At 36.9% G+C, this 26,099-nt stretch overlaps 1 protein-coding gene across 9 annotated transcripts in view, besides 2 other annotated features; it reads left to right on the top strand.

The window, feature by feature from the left end:
* The window catches only part of RFX7 (regulatory factor X7), a 157,803-nt gene that overhangs the window by 97,411 nt on the left and 34,293 nt on the right, over positions 1–26,099 (top strand). For 8 of the 9 annotated variants that reach the window (NM_001370561.1, XM_047432948.1, NM_001368073.2 and 5 more), the window contains 2 exons: positions 3,189–3,271; positions 4,772–4,894. In NM_001370561.1, the coding sequence (NP_001357490.1) occupies positions 3,189–3,271; positions 4,772–4,894 (206 nt within the window). Of the gene's footprint in view, positions 1–3,188; positions 3,272–3,521; positions 4,895–26,099 lie in introns of all 9 variants that reach the window. The other variant, XM_047432949.1, reaches the window with a different exon arrangement.
* Positions 6,708–7,316: an enhancer, noted in NCBI's record as "NANOG-H3K27ac-H3K4me1 hESC enhancer chr15:56432554-56433162 (GRCh37/hg19 assembly coordinates)". NCBI's record gives its function as "activates a minimal SCP1, AML or CMV promoter by ChIP-STARR-seq in naive H9 embryonic stem cells {active_cell/tissue: H9 hESC(naive)}" and the evidence as "EXISTENCE:reporter gene assay evidence [ECO:0000049][PMID:30033119]".
* Positions 7,317–7,926: an enhancer, noted in NCBI's record as "NANOG-H3K27ac-H3K4me1 hESC enhancer chr15:56431944-56432553 (GRCh37/hg19 assembly coordinates)". NCBI's record gives its function as "activates a minimal SCP1, AML or CMV promoter by ChIP-STARR-seq in naive and primed H9 embryonic stem cells {active_cell/tissue: H9 hESC(naive and primed)}" and the evidence as "EXISTENCE:reporter gene assay evidence [ECO:0000049][PMID:30033119]".

The following is a 26,099-nucleotide window of genomic DNA, read 5'->3' as shown; positions in this document are numbered from 1 at the left end:
AACCCGGGGGGCGGAGCTTGCAGTGAGCTGAGATTGCACCACTGCACTCCAGCCTGGGCGACACAGCAAGACTCCACCTCAAAAAAAAAAAAATTAGATTTTTTATTGTAGTAAAATATACATAGCATAAAATTTACCATTAGTGATATTTAGTACATTAACTGTGTTGTACAAGTACCATCTGAATCTAGTTTCAAAACCTTTTCCTCACCCCAAAAGGAAACTCAGTACCCTTTAAGCAGTCATCTGCCTCTGGGAAACACTAAGCTGCTTTCTGTCCCTAGGGATTTGCCTATTTTGGATATTTAATATAAACAGAATCACATGATATGTGTCTGGCTTCTTTCACTTAGCACGATGTTTTCAAGGTTCATCCATGTTGTAGCATGTATCAGTACTCCATTCCTTTTATGGCTAAATAAAAAATTATAATTTTTAAAGTTTATGAAGTTGGTCTTTTCTCTGGTGCTCCAAAAATAGAATACCATTATGATTTATTTTATAAATCCAGCCAAAGGAATTTTTTTTGACCACCAACGAATTTCAACATAGAACAGAAAACTTTTAATTCTTATCATTTAAATTGTCATAAAGCATATCAAATAATCAGATGTTTAACATACTTGCCACATGATACTCTTGCCTTGACAATCAAGCAAGGTTAGGGTCTTCTCCTAAACCAGTGAGCATTGTTTCAGAAGCCACTAATTAGCAGTGGATGACACAGTATATCCAAAACCAGAAATCTTGATGATGAGCCCAGCCTTGCTGGACTGAAATGCCATCACTATACACTTGAGTCATTTTTTTTGTTTGCTTTATAGAATTTTGTTATTATCAGTTTTCATGCTGCTCTCCAAATTTTTTCTTCTATGTGTTGTACCCCATATGGCAATGAAAACAGTAATTGAACAGTTACAAGTTTTCATTGTTTTAAAAAAAATTAGGACACTGACTTTAATCTTTTTCAAAACTTTTTTTTGCCATCTTCTAAATCATCTCTTTGGTGCTTAATACTAATTTAGAACATCTTCTGAAATTTCTTCTATGTTCTGGAATTTCTTTTCTATTCTTTTTTCCAGTATATTTAAAATTTGAAAGCTATATAGAATCCAAGGTTTCTCCAACAGTAGATTTTTTTCTTTATGATCAAAAATGATATTTTTATTACACTTTCTCAGACATGGCTCATAATATTAGGTATTTTATTATTATAACCTTCTCTTAATTTAATATGATTGGCATTGGTGTGATTAAGTGGGTGATGTTAATAATATTTGACAGTAGTTCATACCTAGCATCCCAGCACTTTGGGAGGCAGGAGGATCACTTGAGGCCAGGCAGGAATTCCAGACCAGCCTAGGCAACAATTTTGTAGCAACAAGCTACAAAAAATAAATTAAAAAATTATGTGGCTGTGGTGGCACGCACCTCTGGCCCCAACTACTTGGGAGGCTGAGGTGGGATGATCAGTTGAGCCCAGGAGTTTGAGGCTGCAGTGAGCTATGATTAAGCCACTGCAATTCAATCTGGGCAACAGAGTGAGACTCTCTTAAAAAAAACAATTTGACAAAAAAAAATTTCAGGAACCATATTTAAGACATTAAAGTGGGGTGACATCGGAGGTAGGAAAACCAGCTGGTTAGACATTTTAGAAATTTAAGTGTCATTAAAAGTTCATTAAGGGCAAGAACTGTGGTGGTGGTGTGTTGTTCATCTTTGTTGTATTGTTCACTCTTTGTATGATTTGTGATACATAGTATAGGTTCATAGTTATTTTATGCCACTTGTGGAACATAGCAGAAAACAAAAGTAATGCATAAGCAAACGAATTATCCTTATTCTTGAAAGAAAGACAGCTGAAGACCTAGACTACTGTGGTGGCAGTGAAAAATCGAGACTGGAAGAAGATGGGGCAGAGTGTTAGAGGGCTAAATAAAGGATTAATGTGGAATGCACCAAGAGAAAAAGAGTTAAACACACTCCCAAACTGAACACTGTGGAAACTAGAGAAAAGAAGGTGATGATAAGTAGCAATTAAGAAGAGAATGTGTGTTTGTTTTCTTTGAGGGGAGAGCTACACAAGGGTATAGCTGATAACATTAGGTATTGGAGCAAGAGCCAATTGGAAAATACCTGTAGGCCATGGGATTTTAAAAATGTAAATTTGGGAGCTATTTGCATGTGATTGATTAAATCATTATGTGGATGGATTCTAAGATTAAACTTTTGTGGATATCTTCTGATAAGACTAAGAATAGGCTTGGTTATATCATGTTAAGTATTTTCAAAAACTGAATCTCTGTTTAAACTGTGCTTTATTAAGTAAGAATAAATTCTACCAGGAATGCCAGTAATCTGTCCACATTTTTCATTGCAATGGAATTTTGCTTAGATTAGGCTACCAGAATTTTACTATGAATATTTTTATTATAATAGGATTTGTGGCACATTTGGAGCCATTATGGCAAACTGAGTTTAGAAGAAAGGTAGGAAGGCAAAAATTATTTTAAAGGTTACATTTAGAGACAAAATGACATAGTTGCAGAACAGTAGCAACAGAAAATCTTACAAGTAGATTCTCTAAATAGCTACTGTTGGCAAGCCAACAAATAATTACATCTGTAAGGTCTGGAAAGAGTTACTGGTTTTATTTCAGTGTTTTTAACCTCAGTTCCATCCACAGGTAACAGTAGCACCATCAGTCACATGTTGTAAATATTTGAAAATTAGAAACGGATTCTAGAAATTATGTCATTCATTTTATAGTTCTACAGAAAATTTGCTGTAAAAGTGCTGAAAACCTCATAGCCAGTTAACGGTTAGTTAACTAATAACTGTTTCTCTTGATTCCTGGTCCAGTACTTGTCCTATAGGACAAGTAAAACCCTCCTTCTTTAAATGTGATTAAAAATGAGAAGCTTTTTTTGAGCCTTGGTCAATAATTCTATTTATGCCCATGATGTAAGAACTAATAGGGAAGTGCCATTTTCTTTTATTAAATTTTTGTATGCAATAAATTTATCAAATAACCTCATTGTATTATTTTAGTGATGAGAAAAGACAGATGATTCATCTGTTTTAAATTTAAATAGTCATTATCGTTTAGGGAGATGTTAGTAAATTTTGTTTGGGGAAAAATGAGTGTTTTTTAAAAATGATCTTTCTTTTTAATCCTTTGTAAATAGCAAGAAGTTGAGAAGTTTACAGACCTAGAGAAACTCTACCTCTACCTTCAGCTGCCTTCTGGTCTCAGCAATGGAGAGAAAAGGTATATCTATTCTTGTCTTTGCTATAATTATGCTGTTTATAGGATGTCCCTAGGATATATGTGAGGTCTGTATGTTTTGGTTGTTAGAGTTTTTGCAATATTCCTGAAATGATTAGAAAACATACTGGCAAAACAATACATCATTTTAGTCTTTGGTGATATTTGGTTAAGTATTTACTTGCAGTTTTTGTTAATTTATTTGTGCAATTGGGTAAATGCTATGACATGCAATTTGGGTTTTGTTTCATAGACAGATGACTATGTTTATGCAGTGTGAGGGATTGTGAAAATTGAACAGAAAACCAAAGAATAAACAGATAAGTATCATAAGGAATAAGGTATAAGAGTTTTTTTAGGTACTATCAGATAAACACATCATAGAATATAAAACAGAAAATAAAGTGAAATTGCCTGTATGAAACATGAATTCATAAATGTAAGGTGTGTTAAGTGCTTGGGGTATTACTATAGTTTCATCATTAAAAATTATAGAAACTGTGGAGAGAAGCTGTTCATTCAGTCATTCTAATTTTTAAAAGAGTTTCCTTAACCTTTTAAGTATTTCTCAGAATTCATCTCATTCATATAAATTATGCTTATCATTCTATTTTTTAAAACTGTATATAGAAATAAATGAAATGCAAATTATTTGAGTTTTATCTTTTTTTCCCTCAGACCAACTTTTATCACTGTTTTAATCATGTTATGTCCTAGACACTTGCTCAGTGTTTTCTTTGAAATTAAATAAATTATTCTTACAGATAGCTGAGATGGATGTCACAATCAGTAGAGTAGCTTCCCTTGTCCTATCTTTGGTGTCCATTTCGGTATTTATTTATAAGTAATACTTCCATATAGTAAAAGTTTACAGTGTTTAATGGATATGTCAGGCTGAGGCAGGGGGCCTGGCTTTAGGAAGGATTGTAGGGGGAGATTTGTCTGTTCAGGATCTCTCTGGTGCAAATTCCATTCTGGAGCACAGAATGCTTTAGTAAGATTTCCAAGTAGTTATATATACATATATATGTGTGTGTGTGTGTGTGTGTATGTATATATGTATATGTATGTGTATACATGTGTATATATATATGTGTGTATATATATATATTATATGAGAATGCTGAGCAAATAGAAATAAGCAATTTTTATATAATTTTGTTTTAAAGTTTGATGATTTATTTGGTAAGTGTAGGCAAATGAACAGGTAAGTACATGAGCAGATACCCACTTAAAGGTGATTTTTGACCAAAACAAATACTTTGTCAGTGCTCTATCACCTGCATGGGGAGGGATGGAGCAGGGCAGTAACTTCAGTCTTACACTAGCTATAGCAAACAGCTCACAACCATAGGTGGACAATTATCTACTAGATGTCCTAAGTTTGGTTTGGTCGTTGATAGTGTATTTGTATACAGTTCTTTAGTGGAACATTTAGGCCTAGCTCAAAAATCGTTAATGAATTGCTGTCTGGTCAGCTAAAACATGTTTTCATTCTATTAGTGATCAGAATGCCATGTCATCTAGTCGGGCACAACAAATGCATGCCTTTTCCTGGATTCGGAATACCCTAGAGGAACATCCGGAGACTTCACTGCCCAAACAGGAAGTCTATGATGAGTACAAGTAAGTAGTATGTGTAATATGGCATGCTGATATATTAAAGAGGTAAAATACTATACTTGGCCATAGTGATTTGTTTTATTATTGGTGAATATCAAGCTGGTATATGGGAATTACACTTAGAAATCTCTTAAGATTCATTCCAGCTCTAAGCTTCTGTAGTAGCATTTATAATAAAGGGGGGCAGGATTAATGAATAAAAGGATTTCTGTAGAGTTCTTCAGGATGACAGGAGGGAGGTCAGAGAGTGCAAGGACAGTGGTGTAGGATTGGTGAATAAAAGGATTCCTATAGAATTCTTAGGTATGATAGGAGTGTGTATCTGGGGTTAGAGAGTGGAAGGCAATAAATAAATCAATACATAAGGCGAAACTAAAACATGATTTTTTACTTGGACTTTTTAAAGGCCCTTTTCATGAATCTAAAAGTCTTCTAATTCTTCTCCATACCAAAGAATATTGTATATTATTTATCAAGGACAAGAGAGTTGTCCTTGCACATGTTAGACACTCAAATTTGGTTGTATTTACAATTTATTTAAATCCAGGATACAAAAATACAGAGGCTGATGAGCCCTTCTGGTTAGAAAAAGGTTAATAGGTGCTAAATATAGTCTCGTTTAACATTTTTATAATTGATTTGGAAGGAGGAATTTATTCCAGCAGAGTAAATAAAAGCAAATTTGAGGGCATATTGAAAGGTCAGACCAACAAGAATTAATGTGTTGTACTTACAAATTTGGGGCAAAAAGTGTCAAATAAGTGCTATTGCTAACCAGTGTAAGGTAATGCGAAGGAAATTGTACTTATTGAGATTATTGGTATCTATTCACAGTTCTTACTACCTCACCAAAAGAAACATAATGGAGCTAGAAGAAAGTCTAGATAAAAATATCTGAAATGATCAAGAGAACAAAGTTAAACTGAAGGACTCTAGATTTATTTTCTCTTTACAAAGGTTAAAACTGAGAGTGCATGTGATCCAACTTGTTCATTCATTCAGTCTACAACAATCCATTGAATACCTATATGCCAGACCCTGTGATAAGTTCTCAGGATACAATTGTAAACAGTCACAGCCCTTGCCCTTATTCAGCATATATGCATATATATATATATATATATTTAGAGTAAGCATAGATTCTTCATTAAATTCAAGTTAGTTAAAATAGACCCCTCCGAAACTTCAAAGAAGCAAATTTGAATTCAGTAAAAGGTTATAGAAATCAGGTAAACTTGTATGATATGTTGAAACTCTGGATTGAAGATCAAGAGAATAGATTCTGCCATTAAACTTGTGTGACATAGGCAAGCATTTTAACCAGTCTTTGTCAGTTGGTTCATCTATAAAATGAGGCAGTTGAAGATGTATGAGGTTTCTTTGGTTTTTTTGTTTGTTTGTTTGTTTGTTTTTTGAGACAGGGTTTAACTCTTGTCACCTAGGCTGGAGTGCAATGGCACGATCACAGCTCACTGCAGCTTTAACTCCCACTCCCACCCCCACCCCCAGGGCTCAAGCGATCCTCCTGCCTCAGCCCTCTGAGTAGCTAACACTATGGGCATGCATCACCATGCCTGGCTAACTTTTGTTTTTGTTTTTTGTAGAGAAAGAGTTTTACCATTGCCCAAACTGAGGTTTCTTTTAGCTCTAAAATTCTAAAAGTTGTCTCAAGTAGGGAATGTTAAAGGACTAATTATCCAAAGATGTCTTGCTGGTTTTCCAAAAGGCACATTGGGCAAATAAATGTGTGACAATTCCATAACAGACTAATGAGGGAATACAGAGTATTCATATAATTTTTGAAGTGATGACTTTAATCTGCACCACCCTTCATGATACCTTAGAGAGAGCATGCTGCATTTGCGGAAGAGTGATCCTGGCCCATGAAAGCAGTCCTTATATTCCTAAAAGTTTTCTGCCTTTGGCAAGACATGGTTATGTTTTCCTATAATATTTGAATTTTTCCTTGAAATCTTTTTCAAAGATTCCCATAAATTCTTATGATTTTTTTTCTAAAAAAAGTTAAAGGATTTTTTAAACAAAAGAGACCCAAAACATCACATTGTTTGGGAGGAGTAGTGAGAACTCCAATTTTGAGCAATTAATTTACAGTTCAGTAGAGAGCAACAGAGATAAAAGAAAGTGATTTAGCGGGGAAGGAGCCAAGATGGCCGAATAGGAACAGCTCCGGCCTGAGTGACGCAGAAGACGGTGATTTCTGCATTTCCATCTGAGGTACTGGGTTCATCTCACTAGGGAGTGCCAGACAGTGGGCGCAGGTCAGTGGGTGCGTGCACCGTGCGCCAGCCGAAGCAGGGCGAGGCATTGCCTCACTTGGGAAGCGCAAGGGGTCAGGGAGTTCCCTTTCCGAGTCAAAGAAAGGGGTGACGGACGGCACCTGGAAAATCGGGTCACTCCCACCCGAATACTGCGCTTTTCCGACGGGCTTAAAAAGCGGCGCACCACGAGATTATATCCCGCACCTGGCTCAGAGGGTCCTACGCCCATGGAGTCTCACTGATTGCTAGCACAGCAGTCTGAGATCAAACTGCAAGGCGACAGCGAGGCTGGGGGAGGGGCGCCCGCCATAGCCCAGGCTTGATTAGGTAAACAAAGCAGCCAGGAAGCTCCAACTGGGCGGAGCCCACCACAGCTCAAGGAGGCCTGCCTGCCTCTGTAGGCTCCACCTCTGGGGGCAGGGCACAGACAAACAAAAAGACAGCAGTAACCTCTGCAGACTTAAATGTCCCTGTCTGACAGCTTTGAAGAGAGCAGTGGTTCTCCCAGCACGCAGCTGGAGATCTGAGAACGGGCAGACTGCCTCCTCAAGTGGGTCCCTGGCCCCTGACCCCTGAGCAGCCTAACTGGGAGGCACCCCCCAGCAGGGGCACACTGACACCTCACACTGCAGCGTATTCCAACAGACCTACAGCTGAGGGTCCTGTCTGTTAGAAGGAAAACTAACAAACAGAAAGGACATCCACACCAAAAACCCATCTGTACATCACCATCATCAAAGACCAAAAGTAGATAAAACCACAAAGATGGGGAAAAAACAGAACAGAAAAACTGGAAACTCTAAAAACCAGAGCGCCTCTCCTCCTCCAAAGGAACGCAGTTCCTCACCAGCAACGGAACAAAGCTGGATGGAGAATGTCTTTGAGGAGCAGAGAGAAGAAGGCTTCAGACGATCAAATTACTCTGAGCTACGGGAGGACATTCAAACCAAAGGCAAAGAAGTTGAAAACTTTGAAAAACATTTAGAAGAATGTATAACTAGAATAACCAATACAGAGAAGTGCTTAAAGGAGCTGATGGAGCTGAAAACCAAGGTTCGAGAGCTACGTGAAGAATGCAGAAGCCTCAGGAGCCGATGCGATCAACTGGAAGAAAGAGTATCAGCGATGGATGATGAAATGAATGAAATGAAGCGAGAAGGGAATTTTAGAGAAAAAAGAATAAAAAGAAATGAGCAAAGCCTCCAAGAAATATGGGACTATGTGAAAAGACCAAATCTACGTCTGATTGGTGTACCTGAAAGTGATGGGGAGAATGGAACCAAGTTGGAAAACACTCTGCAGGATATTATCCAGGAGAACTTCCCCAATCTAGCAAGGCAGGCCAACATTCAGATTCAGGAAATACAGAGAACGCCATAAAGATACTCCTCGAGAAGAGCAACTCCAAGACACATAATTGTCAGATTCACCAAAGTTGAAATGAAGGAAAAAATGTTAAGGGCAGCCAGAGAGAAAGGTCGGGTTACCCTCAATGGGAAGCCCATCAGACTAACAGCGGATCTCTCGGCAGAAACCCTACAAGCCAGAAGAGAGTGGGGGCCAATATTCAACATTCTTAAAGACAAGAATTTTCAACCCAGAATTTCATATCCAGCCAAACCAAGCTTCATAAGCGAAGGAGAAATAAAATACTTTACAGACAAGCAAATGCTGAGAGATTTTGTCACCACCAGGCCTGCCCTAAAAGAGCTCCTGAAGGAAGGGCTAAACATGGAAAGGAAAAACCAGTACCAGCTGCTGCAAAATCATGCCAAAATGTAAAGACCATCAAGACTAGGAAGAAACTGCATCAACTAACGGGCAAAACAACCAGCTAACATCATAATGACAGGATCAAATTCACACATAACAATATTAACTTTAAATGTAAATGGGCTAAATGCTCCAATTAAAAGACACAGACTGGCAAATTGGATAAAGAGTCAAGACCCATCAGTGTGCTGTATTCAGGAAACCCATCTCACGTGCAGAGACACACATAGGCTCAAAATAAAAGGATGGAGGAAGATCTACCAAGCAAATGGAAAACAAAAAAAGGCAGGGGTTGCAATACTATTCTCTGATAAAACAGACTTTAAACCAACAAAGATCAAAAGAGACAAAGAAGGCCATTTCATAATGGTAAAGGGATCAATTCAACAAGAAGAGCTAACTATCCTAAATATATATGCACCCAATACAAGAGCACCCAGATTCATAAAGCAAGTCCTGAGTGACCTACAAAGAGACTTAGACTCCCACACATTAATAATGGGAGACTTTAACACCCCACTGTCAACATTAGACAGATCAATGAGACAGAAAGTCAACAAGGATACCCAGGAATTGAACTCAGCTCTGCACCAAGCGGACCTAATAGACATCTACAGAACTCTCCACCCCAAATCAACAGAATATACATTTTTTTCAGCACCACACCACACCTATTCCAAAATTGACCACATACTTGGAAGTAAAGCTCTCCTCAGCAAATGTAAAAGAACAGAAATTATAACAAACTGTCTCTCAGACCACAGTGCAATCAAACTAGAACTCAGGGTTAAGAATCTCACTCAAAACCACTCAACTACATGGAAACTGAACAACCTGCTCCTGAATGACTACTGGGTACATAATGAAATGAAGGCAGAAATAAAGATGTTCTTTGAAACCAAGGAGAACAAAGACACAACATACCAGAATCTCTGGGACGCATTCAAAGCAGTGTGTAGAGGGAAATTTATAGCACTAAATGCCCACAAGAGAATGCAGGAAAGATCTAAAATTGACACCCTAACATCACAATTAAAAGAACTAGAAATGCAAGAGCAAACACATTCAAAAGCTAGCAGAAGGCAAGAAATAACTAAAATCAGAGCAGAACTGAAGGAAATAGAGACACAAAAAACCCTTCAAAAAATTAATCAATCCAGGAGCTGGTTTTTTGAAAGGATCAACAGGATTGATAGACCGCTAGCAAGACTAATAAGAAAAAAAGAGAGAAGAATCGAATAGATGCAATAAAAAATGATAAAGGGGATATCACCACCAATCCCACAGAAATGCAAACTAACATCAGAGAATACTACAAACACCTCTACGCAAATAAACTAGAAAATCTAGAAGAAATGGATAAATTCCTTGACACATACACTCTCCCAAGACTAAACCAGGAAGAAGTTGAATATCTGAATAGACCAATAACAGGATCTGAAATTGTGGCAATAATCAATAGCTTACCAACCAAAAAGAGTCCAGGACCAGATGGATGCACAGCCGAATTCTACCAGAGGTACAAGGAGGAACTGGTACCATTCCTTCTGAAACTATTCCAATCAATAGAAAAAGAGGGAATCCTCCCTAACTCATTTTATGAGGCCAGCATCATTCTGATACCAAAGCCTGACAGAGACATAACAAAAAAAGAATTTTAGACCAATATCCTTGATGAACATTGATGCAAAAATTCTCAATAAAATACTGGCAAAACGAATCCAGCAGCACATCAAAAAGCTTATCCACCATGATCAAGTGGGCTTCATCCCTGGGATGCAAGGCTGGTTCAATATACACAAATCAATAAATGTAATCCAGCATATAAACAGAGCCAAAGACAAAAACCACATGATTATCTCAATAGATGCAGAAAAAGCCTTTGACAAAATTCAACAACCCTTCATGCTAAAAACTCTCAATAAATTAGGTATTGATGGGACGTATCTCAAAATAATAAGAGCTATCTATGACAAACCCACAGCCAATATCATACTGAATGGGCAAAAACTGGAAGCATTCCCTTTGAAAACTGGCACAAGACAGGGATGCCCTCTCTCACCACTCCTATTCAACATAGTGTTGGAAGTGCTGGCCAGGGCAGTCAGGCAGGAGAAGGAAATAAAGGGTATTCAATTAGGAAAAGAGGAAGTCAAATTGTCCCTGTTTGCAGACGACATGATTGTATATCTAGAAAACCCCATTGTCTCAGCCCAAAATCTCCTTAAGCTGATAAGCAACTTCAGCAAAGTCTCAGGATACAAAATCAATGTACAAAAATCACAAGCATTCTTATACACCAGCAACAGACAAACAGAGAGCCAAATCCTGAGTGAACTCCCATTCACAATTGCTTCAAAGAGAATAAAATACCTAGGAATCCAACTTACAAGGGATGTGAAGGACCTCTTCAAGGAGAACTACAAACCACTGCTCAAGGAAATAAAAGAGGATACAAACAAATGGAAGAACATTCCATGCTCATGGGTAGGAAGAATCAATATCGTGAAAATGGCCATACTGCCCAAGGTAATTTACAGATTCAATGCCATCCCCATCAAGCTACCAATGCCTTTCTTCACAGAATTGTAAAAAACTACTTTAAAGTTCATACGGAACCAAAAAAGAGCCCGCATCGCCAAGTCAATCCTAATCCAAAAGAACAAAGCTGGAGGCATCACACTACCTGACTTCAAACTATACTACAAGGCTACAGTAACCAAAACAGCATGGTACTGGTACCAAAACAGAGATATAGATCAATGGAACACAACAGAGCCCTCAAAAATAATGCCGCATATCTACAACTATCTGATCTTTGACGAACCTGAGAAAAACAAGCAATGGGGAAAGGATTCCCTATTTAATAAATGGTACTGGGAAAACTGGCTAGCCATATGTAGAAAGCTGAAACTGGATCCCTTCCTTACACCTTTTACAAAAATCAATTCAAGATGGATTAAAGACTTAAATGTTAGACCTAAAACCATAAAAACCCTAGAAGAAAACCTAGGCATTACCATTCAGGACATAGGCATGGGCAAGGACTTCATGTCTAAAACAGCAAAAGCAATGGCAACAAAAGCCAAAATTGACAAATGGGATCTAATTAAACTAAAGAGCTTCTGCACAGCAAAAGAAACTACCATCAGAGTGAACAGGCAACCTACAGAATGGGAGAAAATTTTCACAACCTACTCATCTGACAAAGGGCTAATATCCAGAATCTACAATGAACTCAAACAAATTTACAAGAAAAAAACAAACAGCCCCATCAAAAAGTGGGTGAAGGACATGAACAGACACTTCTCAAAAGAAGACATTTATGCAGCCAAAAAACACATGAAGAAATGCTCATCATCACTGGCCATCAGAGAAATGCAAATCAAAACTACAATGAGATACCATCTCACACCAGTTAGAATGGCGATCATTAAAAAGTCAGGAAACAACAGGTGCTGGAGAGGATGTGGAGAAATAGGAACACTTTTACACTGTTGGTGGGACTGTAAACTAGTTCAACCATTGTGGAAGTCAGTATGGCGATTCCTCAGGGATCTAGAACTAGAAATACCATTTGACCCAGCCATCCCATTACTGGGTATATACCCAAAGGACTATAAATCTTGCTGCTATAAAGACACATGCACACGTATGTTTATTGCAGCATTATTCACAATAGCAAAGACTTGGAACCAACCCAAATGTCCAACAATGATAGACCGGATTAAGAAAATGTGGCACATATACACCATGGAATACTATGCAGCCATAAAAAATGATGAGTTCATGTCCTTTGTAGGGACATGGATGAAATTGGAAAACATCATTCTCAGTAAACTATCGCAAGAACAAAAAACCAAACACTGCATATTCTCACTCATAGGTGGGGATTGAACAATGAGATCACATGGACACAGGAAGGGGAATATAACGCTCTGGGGACTGTTGTTGGGGAGGGCGGTAGGGATAGCATTGGGAGATATACCTAATGCTAGATGACGAGTTAGTGGGTGCAGTGCACCAGCATGGCACATGTATACATATGTAAGTAACCTGCACAATGTGCACATGTACCCTAAAACTTAAAGTATAATAAAAAAAAAAAAAGAAAGTAAAAAAAAAAAAAAAAGAAAGTGATTTAGATAGGCTACAATTTAAAAAGGCAGTAGTAGGTAAGGGAGAGTTTTTATAATAGCATGATTAGGAAAGAAATGCCAGTTCTGTTCATGGAATTGGAGAGAATTATTCTAATGATAATTAATAGAGTACTATACACAAAATATCTGAGTCTGGGTATTTTAGTTCAAAAAATTTCACTAAGAATATTTCACTTATTTACTGTAGTGTTCCCCCATAGCATTTCCACATAGTAGGCACTAATTTTATAGTAAGAGTGATTAGAGCGGAACCTGATCTCTGACAATGATAATAAAATTTGTGTTGTAACAGACCTTGTAGGTCTTCCACTATGTTCCTATCCTCTTTTTATAGATGAAAACATTTGAAACCTAGAGAAGTTAAGTGACTCTACCAGTGTGACAAAACTAGTGAGGGGCAGATCTAAGACTAGAACTCAGATTTCATGAGTGAGTTCATAATAGGTTAAGAAGGTAAGCGTGTTAAAGTTGAGTAATATCAAACTGAGTGGGTAGAAAACATTGGACAAGTAGTTAGAAATACTGCTAATATTATTTGGCCAGGACTTCCACTTGGTGTAGATAAATAAGCAGCTCAGAGTATGAATTAGTTTACATATGGTTAGTATACGTGCATACAAATAATATGGTTATTGTAAGAGACACAGCATAACAACATGACATGTGCTAGGAAGAAAGAATGTTGGTGTTTCCATAGAATTACAGCATGTAGAAGCTTCAAGTTGTTCTGTTATTTGATTGTACATTGCCTAAAACCATAATTTGCCATTTGGGTTTAAATAATTTGAAAGAGATAAAAAAGGTAGAAACACTACAGAAAGGCAAAATGTAGATCAAAGTATTAGAAAACAGTTAAAAGTTTTACAATTATGTTGTCTAAAGAAAACTAAATAGAATATAGCTATATATTTTAAGAACAAGAGTTTTAAATCACAGGAGAGATTTCAGTTAGACACACAATCATTAGGCACTCATTATCCTGTTTAGAGTGCCTAAATGAAATTTCCCGAACAAAAACTTAACAGGATCAGTTTAAGACTGATCATTCTGTGTTCTCAATACTCAATGAAAGAAATGGTGTTATTAATATGAAGTATCCTTTTAAGTTATTCCTGTTGTGTATGGACCCTTTTATAATTCATTTCAGTGTATTTAGATGTATTTGTGTCAAAATCCCTTTAATAGTCATTAAAAGCAAAATCCCTTTGAGGAAAAAAATGAAGTTGTAATCTCAGACAGTAAAGACTGGCTTCTTTTAACTGTGTTTTCATGCTAAATTAAGATATTAATAGAAATAAAAAGCTTTAAGGAGCTTTCAGTATGCAAAAACAGTTTAGTTTACAAATGATTTTGAGCTTTTTTATTTGTTGAAATTTTTGAATTCTAATATTCATGTCTTCAGGAAAATTATTAGTGCATTGATTTTTATACTGTTTTTCTAATTATAAAATGTATATTCATCATGAAAGTTTGGGCAAATAGTTATAAATGTATAAAGAAGAAATTTAGCACCTGTAATCTCACTATCTGAAAATAACCATCTGGTTTTATTTCCTTATAGTTTTTCTAATGCCTTCTTTAATGTATACATTTTTGTTGTTGTTTAACCAAATTTGGCCCCACTGTTTATGCAGTTCTTGGGTGAGAGGGTAGTTGCAAATAGCACTGCAGTGAACATCCTTGGCTGTATAATTTAATGTAAATTATCAAAATTGGGATTGCTGGCTAAATACTGTTATTTATTATTCACTAAATGCATTTCTTTCTGATATGTTTGTTCTAGCCTTTTACATGTCCATTTATTAAAGACATAAATATTAAAACATAAATGTTTTTCAAGATTGCTGTTTGTTAATTTTAGTTAATTTTTAAATAAGTAGTCTGATCTGTACACTTTTGTCACAGCTTGTAACATTACTATTATGCTTAGAAAAAACTCCATGCCACCAGCTGCTGAATACTCACATATATTTTTCCTAGGTATTTTTTATTTTATTTTTTATATATAAGCCTTGAGTCTATCTGTGATTTATTTTAGTAAATGCTATTAGATAAGGTACTTATTTTAATTTTTTCTAAATGGTTAATTATCCCAGCTTTTTTATTGAATAATTTTTCTGTCTTAACACTAATCTATAATGTACTGTTACCTTACTAAAGGCTTCTGGACTCAATTTTCTTTCTTTATGTTCTCTGTTCTTCTGGTAATACTATACTACTTAGATATTTTAGCTATTAAATGTTTAAATAGCTGACAGGACCCATCTTTCCTCCTTATACCTCTTTTTCACAAGTTTCCTTGGTTTTATTTTCTGACCAGTTAATTTTTTTTATAGGAAGTTGCGAATCAGTTTTCTGATTTTAAAAAAGGAAACTCTAAGGGGATTTTGATTCAAACACATTAACTGAAAATTTTAGAAAAATTAACTACAGACTAGAAATATGTTTCTTAATTTACATGTTTCTTTCATGCCCTTCATTAATGTTTTCCCTTTTTTCCCTCAATTAAGTTCACTTATTTTCTCCTTTAACATAATCCTCGGTAATTTCTATTCATATTGTGAAAAATATGAATAATATGAAAAAATGAATAAATATGAAAAAGACTATTTGTTTTGGTTTATAGGAACTTCCTAGATTTCTGTTATTTTTATGTTGTACATTTTATATTTACTGGATTTTGTTTAGTCCTTATTTTTAGTTGTTACTTTTGACTTTTCTAGATAGTTTATCCTGTGAATCTTCTTCATTGTCTTTACTTTGTTATTACATTTAATAGACTTTCCTTCCAATTTTACATATAGCAGTGATAGACATCATTTCCTCTTACAGTAAGTTCACTGATGTTAAGTATGTATCACTTATAGTTGAACAAGACTTTATTTTCTTTTTAATGAGAAGTGAATATTGGAATTCATTAAATATTTTGGCATCCAAATGAGATTATTTTGCAGTGCTTCTTATTTGACCTGTCAATGTGATGTATTTTATAAAGATATTACTTAATATAGGCCGGGCACAGTGTCTCATGCCTGTAATCCCAACACTTTGGGAGGCCAAGTCTAGAGGATCACTTGAGGCCAGAAGTTTAAGACCAGACTGGGCAACAAAACAAGACCCTGTCTCTACAAAAAATTAGCTGGGCATGGTGGCATGCACCGGTAGTGCTAGCTATACGAGAGTCTGAGTTGGAGGATTGCTTGAGCTCAGGAGGTGGAGGCGGCAGTAAGCCAATGCACTCCAACCTGGGTGACAGAGTGAGATCCTGTCTCAAAAAAAAAAAAAAAAAAAAAAAAAGATACCTAATATAATCTCTTATTTCTAGAATGAATGTCCTCCTTATGTCAAGACGTGTTATCTTGTAGTGTACCATTGAGTTCTGTTTTCAAGTGTATTATTTAGGAACTTTGCATCTACATTCATAAATGAATTTGGTCTGTAATTTTCTTTTTTTTTTTATGCTATCTTTGTCAGGTTTTGATATCAGGGTTAGGCCAGCTTTGCAAAATGAATTGGAACTCTTTCCCTAATTTTCTGTGCTCTGGAACAGTTTATATAGCATGGGACTTATTTATTCTTGAAAGTTTTAAAGAACTCAACTACAAAACCATCTAGGCCTGGAGCCTTTGTTGGAGGTAATTCTTTGACAATTTTTGTGTTTTACACTGGTTAGGTTTTTACTTTATTCATCAATTTTGGTCATTTGTTTCTCTCATAAATTTAATATCTTTTGTATCTTCTTATATGCTTTTTGATATTTCTAGTTTTGTACATTGAATTTTCCTCTTTTTTCATATTTCACTTAGCCTAATTTATTTTTTAGATTTTTCTTTTTTAGACAAGTAAAATCTGATATGTTTTATTTTCTTGTCTTTTTTTCATTTATTAGGTGCTTTTATTTTTGGTCCTTCTGGTTTTCTTGGGTTTTTTTCTTACTCTTTAAATGGAATGCTTAACTTTGTTTTCATTCTTTCACATTTAGGATAGGAACATTTATATCTATGAATTTGCCTCTCATTATAGTTTTGGCTGTATTCCATTTGATATGCATATGAGTTGTTATAATTGCCATTATTTTCCAATAGTGTGGAATTATCGTTTTGCTTTTTTCTGTGACCTAAATTAGAAGTTTGTTTTCTTTTTAAATTTTTCAGGTGTTTGAGGGTTTATTTCATTTTATTTTGCTTTACACTTTCATATTTTTAGTTTTATTAAATTGTGGTCAGAGAATGGGGCTTAGTTTCTGATATTTTTATTGAGATTTACTTTCAGTCTAACAAATTATCAATTTTTAAAATATTTTGACATTCTCTTTCTGTAGCTCTGTATATTACATTGATTGCACTAATTCAACTTTTTAATATTTTTCAAATTCTGTAAAAAATTCTTTTTGTCTGTTAACACACTGCTCATCTTCAACTGAGTAAATTTCTCACAAAAATGATGTGAGATTCTTTATCACAGTTCCTTACTGTATTTTTTATGAGTTTTGCTTTACAAATGTTAGGATTAACACAAAAGTTTCATGATTTTGTATCCTTAGTAGAGTTTCAATAAAATTAATTTTAGGCAAATGCAAGTACATATAAGAAAATTAACTGTATTACAGGATAGGGAGTTTTCAGCTACCATTTACAAATGGCTTAGGAAAATCTTTACAAATTGTACCCTGGGAGAAGCAGCCACATGTACCATGGCCAAAAAGATCAACCATAGGAAACATCATCAGAAAAATACCAAAACCAGAAACGTTTCACCCTTCTACAAAACCATGATAATGCCAGATACCTCAGCCTGAACTATGCCAAGTAGACATTGCAAGACCTTTATGAATTCCTAGTTTTAGAAATACCATTACTTTTTTAGATCTCTTCACTTTGTATTCATTGCCATCATCACCTACCCTGGGCGACTGCTTTGTTTTCAGGGCAGTGTGCTCTCCAACTTCCTGTTACAAAAATTTTCAGAGATAATAGAAATGTTGAAAGTATACTGTAAGAATATCCATATTCCTATGTGCTTCACATAGGTTCAACAGTTTTTTTCCTATACCATTTGTAAGTTGTGGATATGATACTTCTCCTAAGAATAAAGACAATCACTTTTATAATACTTTGATTACATCTAAGAAACTTAACATGAGTTCTATAAAATTCATCTATTACCTGATTTGGAACTTTTTTTTTTTTTTTTGAGGGGGAGTCTCACTCTTGTCACCTAGGCTGGAGTGCTGTGTTGCAATCTCGGCTCACTACAACCTCTGCCTTCCGGGTTCAAGTGATATTTCTGCCTCAGCCTCCCCAGTTGCTGGGACTACAGGCATGCACCACCACGCCTGGCTAATTTTTATATTTATTATAGGGATGGGTTTCACCATGTTGGCAAGGCTGGTCTCAAACTCCTGACCTCAAGTGATACACCCACTTCGGCCTCCCAAAGTGTTGGGATTACAGGCGTGAGCCATTGTGCCTGGTCCTGTTTTTAACCTAGGAAAAAATAAGTTATTCTTCTGATCCATGAACATGGGGTATATTTTTGTTTACTTAGATCTTTAATTTCTTTCAAGGATGTATACATCTTAATCTTCTTTTGCTAAATTTATTGCTCAATATTTTTGATTGAAGTGGAATTATTTTTAATAACACTTTTGGATTAGTTGTTGCCAATATATAGAAATAAGAGTGATTTTGTATATTGATCTCGTATCCTGCAATTTTGCTCACCTTTATTAGCTCTAATTATAGGGTTTAGTGTATTTCTTAGGATTTTTTTATCTATTTCATCTGAAAATAGAGATAATTTTACCTCTTCCTTTCTAATCTGGATGTCTTCTCATTTATTTTCTTGCCTGATTGCCATGGCTAGAACTTTCAGTACAGTGTTGAATAGAAATGGTAAGAGTGGACACCCCCTTCCTTGTCTGTTGCCTGATACAAAGAGGAAAGCTTTCAGTCTTTTGCCATTAAGTATGATATTATCTGTGGGTTTTTATCGATGGCCTTTGTTAGGTCAAGGAATTTCCATTTTGTTACTAGTTTGTTGGATATCTGTCAAACGTTTTTTCTGCATCTATTGAGATGATTATATCAAAGGTTTTTTTAGATGAACTGAATATAGTGTATTACATTATTATTTTTATATGTTGTACCTATCATGCATTTCTGGGATAAATCACACTTAATCATGATATCTAATCCATTATGTATGCAGCTAGTTTCAGTTTGTCAGTCTTTTGTTAAGGATTTTTGCATCTGAGGGATATTGGTCTGTGGTTTTCATTCTCAGAATGCTTTTGTCTGATTTTGGTGTCAGGATAGTGTTGGCCTTAATATAATGAGTTTAGAAGTATTCCCTTCTAAACTATCAAAGAGTTTATGAAAGACTGATTAGAATTCACCAGCTAAACCATCTTGGTCTGGGCTTTTCTTTGTAGGTACTTTTTAAGTTACTAATTCAATCTCTGTTACTGGTCAGGTTATCTATTTCCTTTTGAGTCTATTTTGATAGTTTGTGTTCTTCTAGAATTTTGTTTCTTTCATGTATATTATCCAATTTGTTGTCATACAGTTTTTCATAGTATTCCCTTGTAGTACATTTTATTCAAAGTCAGTAGTTAATACCTCCGTTTTCATTCATGATTTTAGTTATTTGAGTCATCTCTCTTTTTTTTTTTTTAAACTTGGACAGCTTAGCTGAACATTTGTTAGTTTTGTTAATCTTTTCGGCCGGGCGCAGTGGCTCACGCCTGTAATCCCAGCACTTTGGGAGGCCAAGACGGGCAGATCACGAGGTCAGGAGATCGAGACCATCCTGGCTAACACGGTGAAACCCCGTCTCTACTGAAAATACAAAAATTAGCCGGGCATGGTGGCGCGCGCCTGTAGTCCCAGCTACATGGGAGGCTGAGGCAGGAGAATGGCATGAACCTGGGAGGTGGAGCTTGCAGTGAGTCGAGATCGCGCCACTGCACTCCAGCCTGGGCGACAGAGCGAAACTCCGTCTCAAAAAAAAAAAAAAATCTTTTCAAAAAAACAATTTTGGGGTTTACTTTTTTTTCTAATGTTTTTATATTCCCTATTATATTTCTTTCCACTAGAATCTTTATTATAGCCTTCTTCTGCTTGTTTAGGAGTGAGTTTTCTCTTTTGTTTCTAGTTTCTTAACCTGGAAGATTAGGTTATTGATTTGACACCTTTCTTCTTTTTTAATGTAGGCATATGTCCCTATAAATTTCCTGCTAAGCACTTCTTTGACTACATCCCATATATTTTGATATGTTATGCTTTCATTTTTATCTCAAGTATTCTCTAATTTCTCTTGTGTTTTTTCGATCCATTGATTATGTAGGAATTTAATTTTCACATACTTGTGAATTTCCTTTTCCTTCAGTTATTGACTTCTAGCTTCTTTCCATTATGACCAGGGAAAATACATTGTGTGATTTCAGTTTTTTTTAAAATGTATTAAGTATGATGTATCCTGGAGAATATTCCATATGCACTTGAGAAGAATGCTTTTTGTGCTATTGTTGGCTGGAGGAGTGTTCTGTAGATGTCTTTTAGGTCTAGTTGGTTTATAGTGTTGATCAAGTCATCTGTGTCCTTATTGATCATCTGCTTATTTCTATTCATTATTGAATTGGAGCATTGAAGTCTCTGACTGTTATTGCTGAATTGTCTTTTTTGTGTGTTTTACTTATTTTGGAGCTCTGTTGTTTGCTGCATAAAAAGTTACGATTGTTACAGCTTCTTGGTGGATTGACCATTTCATCTTAATATCTTTGGTAACAGTTCTCTTCTCTGATATTAGTACAGCCCTCCAGTTCTTTTTCAGTTACTGTAGCCATGCTTTATCTTTTCTGGTTCTTTTATTTACAGCCTATTTGTGTCTTTGAATATAAGTATGTATGTAGTATATAGACAACATATACTTTGATGATGTTTTATTTTAAATTCACCCTGCCTTTTAACTGGAGAATTTAATCCATTTACATTTAATGTAATTACTGATAAAGTAAGGTTTACATTTGCCATTTTGCTATTTGTTTTCTATATGTCTTATGCCTGCCTTTGTTCCTCTGTATCAGGTGGGGTCCTTCAGGGAATCCACCACACAAGTGAAATAATGACAATTGTTTGTGATGAGGATTTGCAAAACACTCCAACTACTTTATTTCAGTGAACACAAGACTGCACTGGGAATATGGGGTATTAGTTTTCAAGGCTCCTAATGGGGAATGAGAGATCAGACTAGGGCAAGTTAAAATGGCACAAAGCTATTCTTAAATAAATGCTACCCAGTTTGCTGCAGGTCTTTGGTTAATTTCCAGGGATTTTCCATTGTTTTATGGAGGAGTCAGTTTAGGAATTTTACTATGCAGTTCACTGATACTAGGAAACTAAATAATTTAAATCCCTAAATGTTGATGGATCAGATAATGGTCAGTTCTAGTTGCCATGCTTTATTCAAAAATTAACTGAAATGATCCAGCAAATTGAAATAGCCATTTTAACCATAAGAAATAAAAACTATGAAAACACAGAAGATCAAAGCCTTTATAAAGACTTTGTTATGGTCTGTAAAAAGCATAAACTATGAAACAGACTCCTTCCAAATTATATTTAATGCTTCCCTCTGCTACAGAATAAAGCCCCAAACCATTTATTTTTCAGGGGAAGGAGGACTTATACAGGGGAGAAAGATTGGACTTGGAAAGTAGCTATATGTATATAAATTTGAGTCCTAATTTATTTAGACATATACTGGGATTTGTATCCATGAGGAAGTCCTTAACGTTTAATGTTTGCCTACTATCCTTTTGTAAAATGGAAAAATATCATGCTTTTTTAAGATTAAAAACTGTATATATGAACTAGCTGAAAAAAGCAATCAAGAAAGTAATCCCATTTATGTTAGCCACATACACACACACACACACACACACACACACACACACACTCACACACACAGAAGAAACCCTCAGAATACGCTTAACCAAGGATGCGAAAGACTTCTACAAGGAAAACTAAAAAACAGTGATAAAAGAAATTAAAGAAGATACAAATAAATGAAAAGACATCCCATGCTCATAGATCAGAAGAATTAATATTATTAAAATTACCATACTACCCAGAGCAGTCTACAGATTGAATGCAATTCCTATCAAAATACTGATTGTATTCTTCACAGAAATAGAAAAAAAGACCTTAAAATTTATATGGAAGCACAGAAGACCCAGAATTGCCAAAAAATGCTAACCACAAAGAACAAAACTGGAAGGCTCACATGACCAGACTTCAAAATATACTGCAAAGCTGTAGTAACCAAAACAGCATGGTTCTGGCATAAAAGCACACATATAGACCATGGAACAGGGTAGAGAATCCAAAAGTTAATCCACAATCTACAGCCAACTGATTTTTGACAAAGACGCTAAGAACACTCAGTGGGGAAAGGACAGTCTCTTCAATAAATGGTGCTGAGGAAACTGGGTATACATATGCAGAAGAATAAAACTAAACTCCCATCTCTCACCCTATACAAAAATTAACTCAAAATGGATCAAAGACATAAATGTAAGACCAAAACTACAAAATTAGCAGAAGAAAACATAGGGACTTCAGGACATTGGCCTGCAAAAAGATTTTATGAATAAGAGCTCAAAAGCACAGGCAACAAAAGCAAAAGTAAACCAATGGCATTATATCAGATCAAAAAGCTTCTTCACAGCAAAGATAACAATCAATACAATGAAAAGAAAACTTACAGAATGGGAGAAAATATTTGCAAACTATTCATCTAAACAGGAGATTAATATCCAGATCATTATGTACAAGGAACTCAGACATTTAAGCCGCAAAGAAAAATCTGATTGTTAAATGGGCAAAGGACATGAGTAGACATTTCTCAAAAGATGGTGTACAAATGGCCATAGGTACGTGGAAAAATGCTCAACATCACTAATCATCAGGGAAACGCAGATAAAAACCACAGTGAGGTATCATGTTACCCTGTTAGGATAGCTACTTTCAGAAAGACAAATAAATGCTGGAGAGGATGCAAAGAAAAGGGAACACTTACACACTGTTGGTGGGAATGTAAAGTACAGCTGCTATGGAGAACAGTATGGATTTTTTTTTTTTTTTCGGAGACTGAGTCTTGCTCTGTCACCCAGGCTGGAGTGGAGTGGCACGATCTCGGCTCACTGCAAGCTCCGCCTCCTGGGTTCACACCATTCTCCTGCCTCAGCCTCCCTAGTAGCTGGGACTACAGGTGCCCGTCACCATGCCTGGCTAATTTTTTGTATTTTTAGTAGAGGCAGGGTTTCACCGTGTTAGCCAGGATGGTCTCAATCTCCTGACCTTGTGATCCGCCTGCCTCGGCCTCCCAAAGTGTTGGGCTTACAGGCGTGAGCCACTGCACCCGGCAGATGTTTCTTAAAAATACAGAGAGGTGTACCAAGATGGCCAAATAGAAGCCTCCACTGATCATCCTCCCTGCAGGAACACCAAATTTAACAATTATCTACACACACACAAAAATGTAAGAACCAGAAATCAGGTGAATGGTCATAGTACCTGGTTTTAAGTTGAAAGAGACACTGAAGAAGGTACAAAAAAAGTCTTGAATTGCTGACACCACCTCTCCCCCATCTCCCAGCACCTGCCACGGAGAATGAGTCCACTTGCAGGAGAGAGAGTGCAGCAGCTGTGGAACTTTGCATTGGAACTCAGTGCCGCCAACAGTGGGCAGAACTCAGCCAGCTCCTGTGGAAAGAGCATTCAGACCAGCCCTAGCCAGAAAGGAAATCTCTCATCCCAGTGGTTGGAAACTGAGTTCCCACAAGCCTCACCACTGCAGGCTAAAGTGCTCTGGAGTCCTAAATAAACTTGAAAGGCAGTCTAGACCACAAGGACTGCAATGTATAGGCAACTCCTAGTGCTTTGCTGGGCTCGGAACCAGTGGACTTGGGCGGCATACCACCTATTGAGACACCAGCCAGGGTGGCCAAGGGAGTGCCTGCATCAGCCTTCCCTCAACCTGAGGCAGCAAAGCTTGCAACTCTGAAAGAACCCCTTCCTTCCACTTGAGGAGAGGAGAAGGAAACGTGAAGAGGACTTTATCTTAATGCTTAAATACCAGTTCAGCCACAGTAGTATAGGGTACCGGGCAGAGTCTTGAGACCTCCATTTCAGGCTCTAGCTCCCAAATGACATTTCTAGACACACCCTGGGCCAGAAGGGAACCCACTACGTTGATGGGAAGGACCCAGTCCTGGCAGGATTCATCACTTGCTGACTAAAGAGCCTTTGGGCCCTGAATAATACCATTAGCAGTGGTAACCAGGTAGTACATGCCAGAGGTCTTAGGTGAGATTCTGAGACATTCTGGCTTCAGGTATGACCCAGTGTATTTACAGCTGTGGTGGCTACAAGGCAAGACTTCTGGTTGGAAAAAGCAGAGGGAAGAATAAAGGGGATTTTGTTTTGCTGCTTAGGTGCCAGCCCAGCCACAGTGGGGAAGACCACCAAGAGGGCTTTTGGGGTCCCCGATTCCAGGCCTTGGCTCTTAGATGGTTTTTGTCGACCTATGGTATTTGGCCCTTAGATGGTATTTCTCGAATACCATCTAAGGGTGAGAAATACCATCTGAAGGGTGAGTCCCAGATTTGAGGGCATTCACCACAGGCTGACTGGAGAGCCCTTGGGCCTTAAGTGAACATTGGCAGTACCCTGGCAATACTCCCTGTGGGCCTGTGGTGGTGGACACGGGGAGACTCCTCTGACTAGGGAAAGGGGAAGGAAGAGTGGGAAGGACTGTCTTGTGGTTTGGGTGCCAGCTTAACCGCAGTAGGATAAAGCACCAGGTAGATTTCTAAGGTTTCTGGATCCAAATCCTGCTCCTGGATAGCATCTCTGGACCCATCTGGGGTCTGGGGCAACTCACAACCCTGAAGGCAAGAACAAAAGACTGGCTGGCTTCACAAACTGCTGATTGTAGAGCCCTAGGGCTTGAGTGAGAACATAAATGGTAGCCCTGTCGTGGTAACAGTGAGCCTTGGGCAATACCCAGTGCTATGCTTGTTTCAGGTCTAACCCAGCACAGACCCAGTAGTGATGGTCACAGGGCTGCTTGTGTCACCACTCCCCCAGCTCCAGGCATTTCAGCCTAGAGAGAGGGAGAGACTCCATTTGTTTGGGAGAAAATAAGGGAAGAGAACAAGAATCTCTGCATGGTAATGCACAGAATTCTTCCAGACCTTATCCAACACCATCAAGGTGGTACCTCTGTGAATCTGCAAGAACCACATTACTGGACTTGTAATGCCCCCAAATGCAGTTATCTCTGTGGTGGCCAAAAACAGATCACGGCACAAAAGTCCCTTCGAATACCTGCAAAGTCTTTCCCAGTAGGATGGGTACAAACAGGCCCACACTGTGAACACTACGATAAATATCTAACTCTTCAATGTCCAGACACTGATGAGCATTCACAAGCATCAAGACCATTCAGAAAAACATGACCTCACCAAACGAACTAAATAAGGCACCAGGGACCAATCCTGGAGAGACAGAGATATGTGACCTTTCAAAAAGAGAGTTCAGAATTGCTCTTTTGAGGGAGCTCAAATAAATTCAAGAAAACACAGAGAAGGAATTCAGAATCCTATCCAACAAATTTAACAGAGATTGAATAATTTTTAAAAAGCAAATTCTGGAGTTGAAAGATGCAATTAATACACTGAAGAATGCATCAGAGTCTCTTACTTGCAGAATTGATCAAAAAGAACTAGTGACCCTGAAACAGGTTATTTGAACATACACAGTCAGAGGGAGACAAAAAAACAATAAAAAAAAGAATGAAGCACACCTACAAGATCTAGAAAATAGCCTCCAAAAGCCAAATCTAAGAGCTATTGGCCTTAAAGAGGAGGTAGACAGAGAGATAGGAATAGAAAGTTTATTCAAAGAGAGAATAACAGAGAACTTCCAAAAC

This window comes from Homo sapiens, chromosome 15 (genome assembly GCF_000001405.40).
Source record: "Homo sapiens chromosome 15, GRCh38.p14 Primary Assembly".
In the NCBI taxonomy this organism is placed as follows: Eukaryota; Metazoa; Chordata; class Mammalia; order Primates; family Hominidae; genus Homo; species Homo sapiens.
The sequence above is the reverse complement of the archived record's forward strand: the minus strand, read 5'-3'. Positions and strand labels throughout refer to the sequence as shown.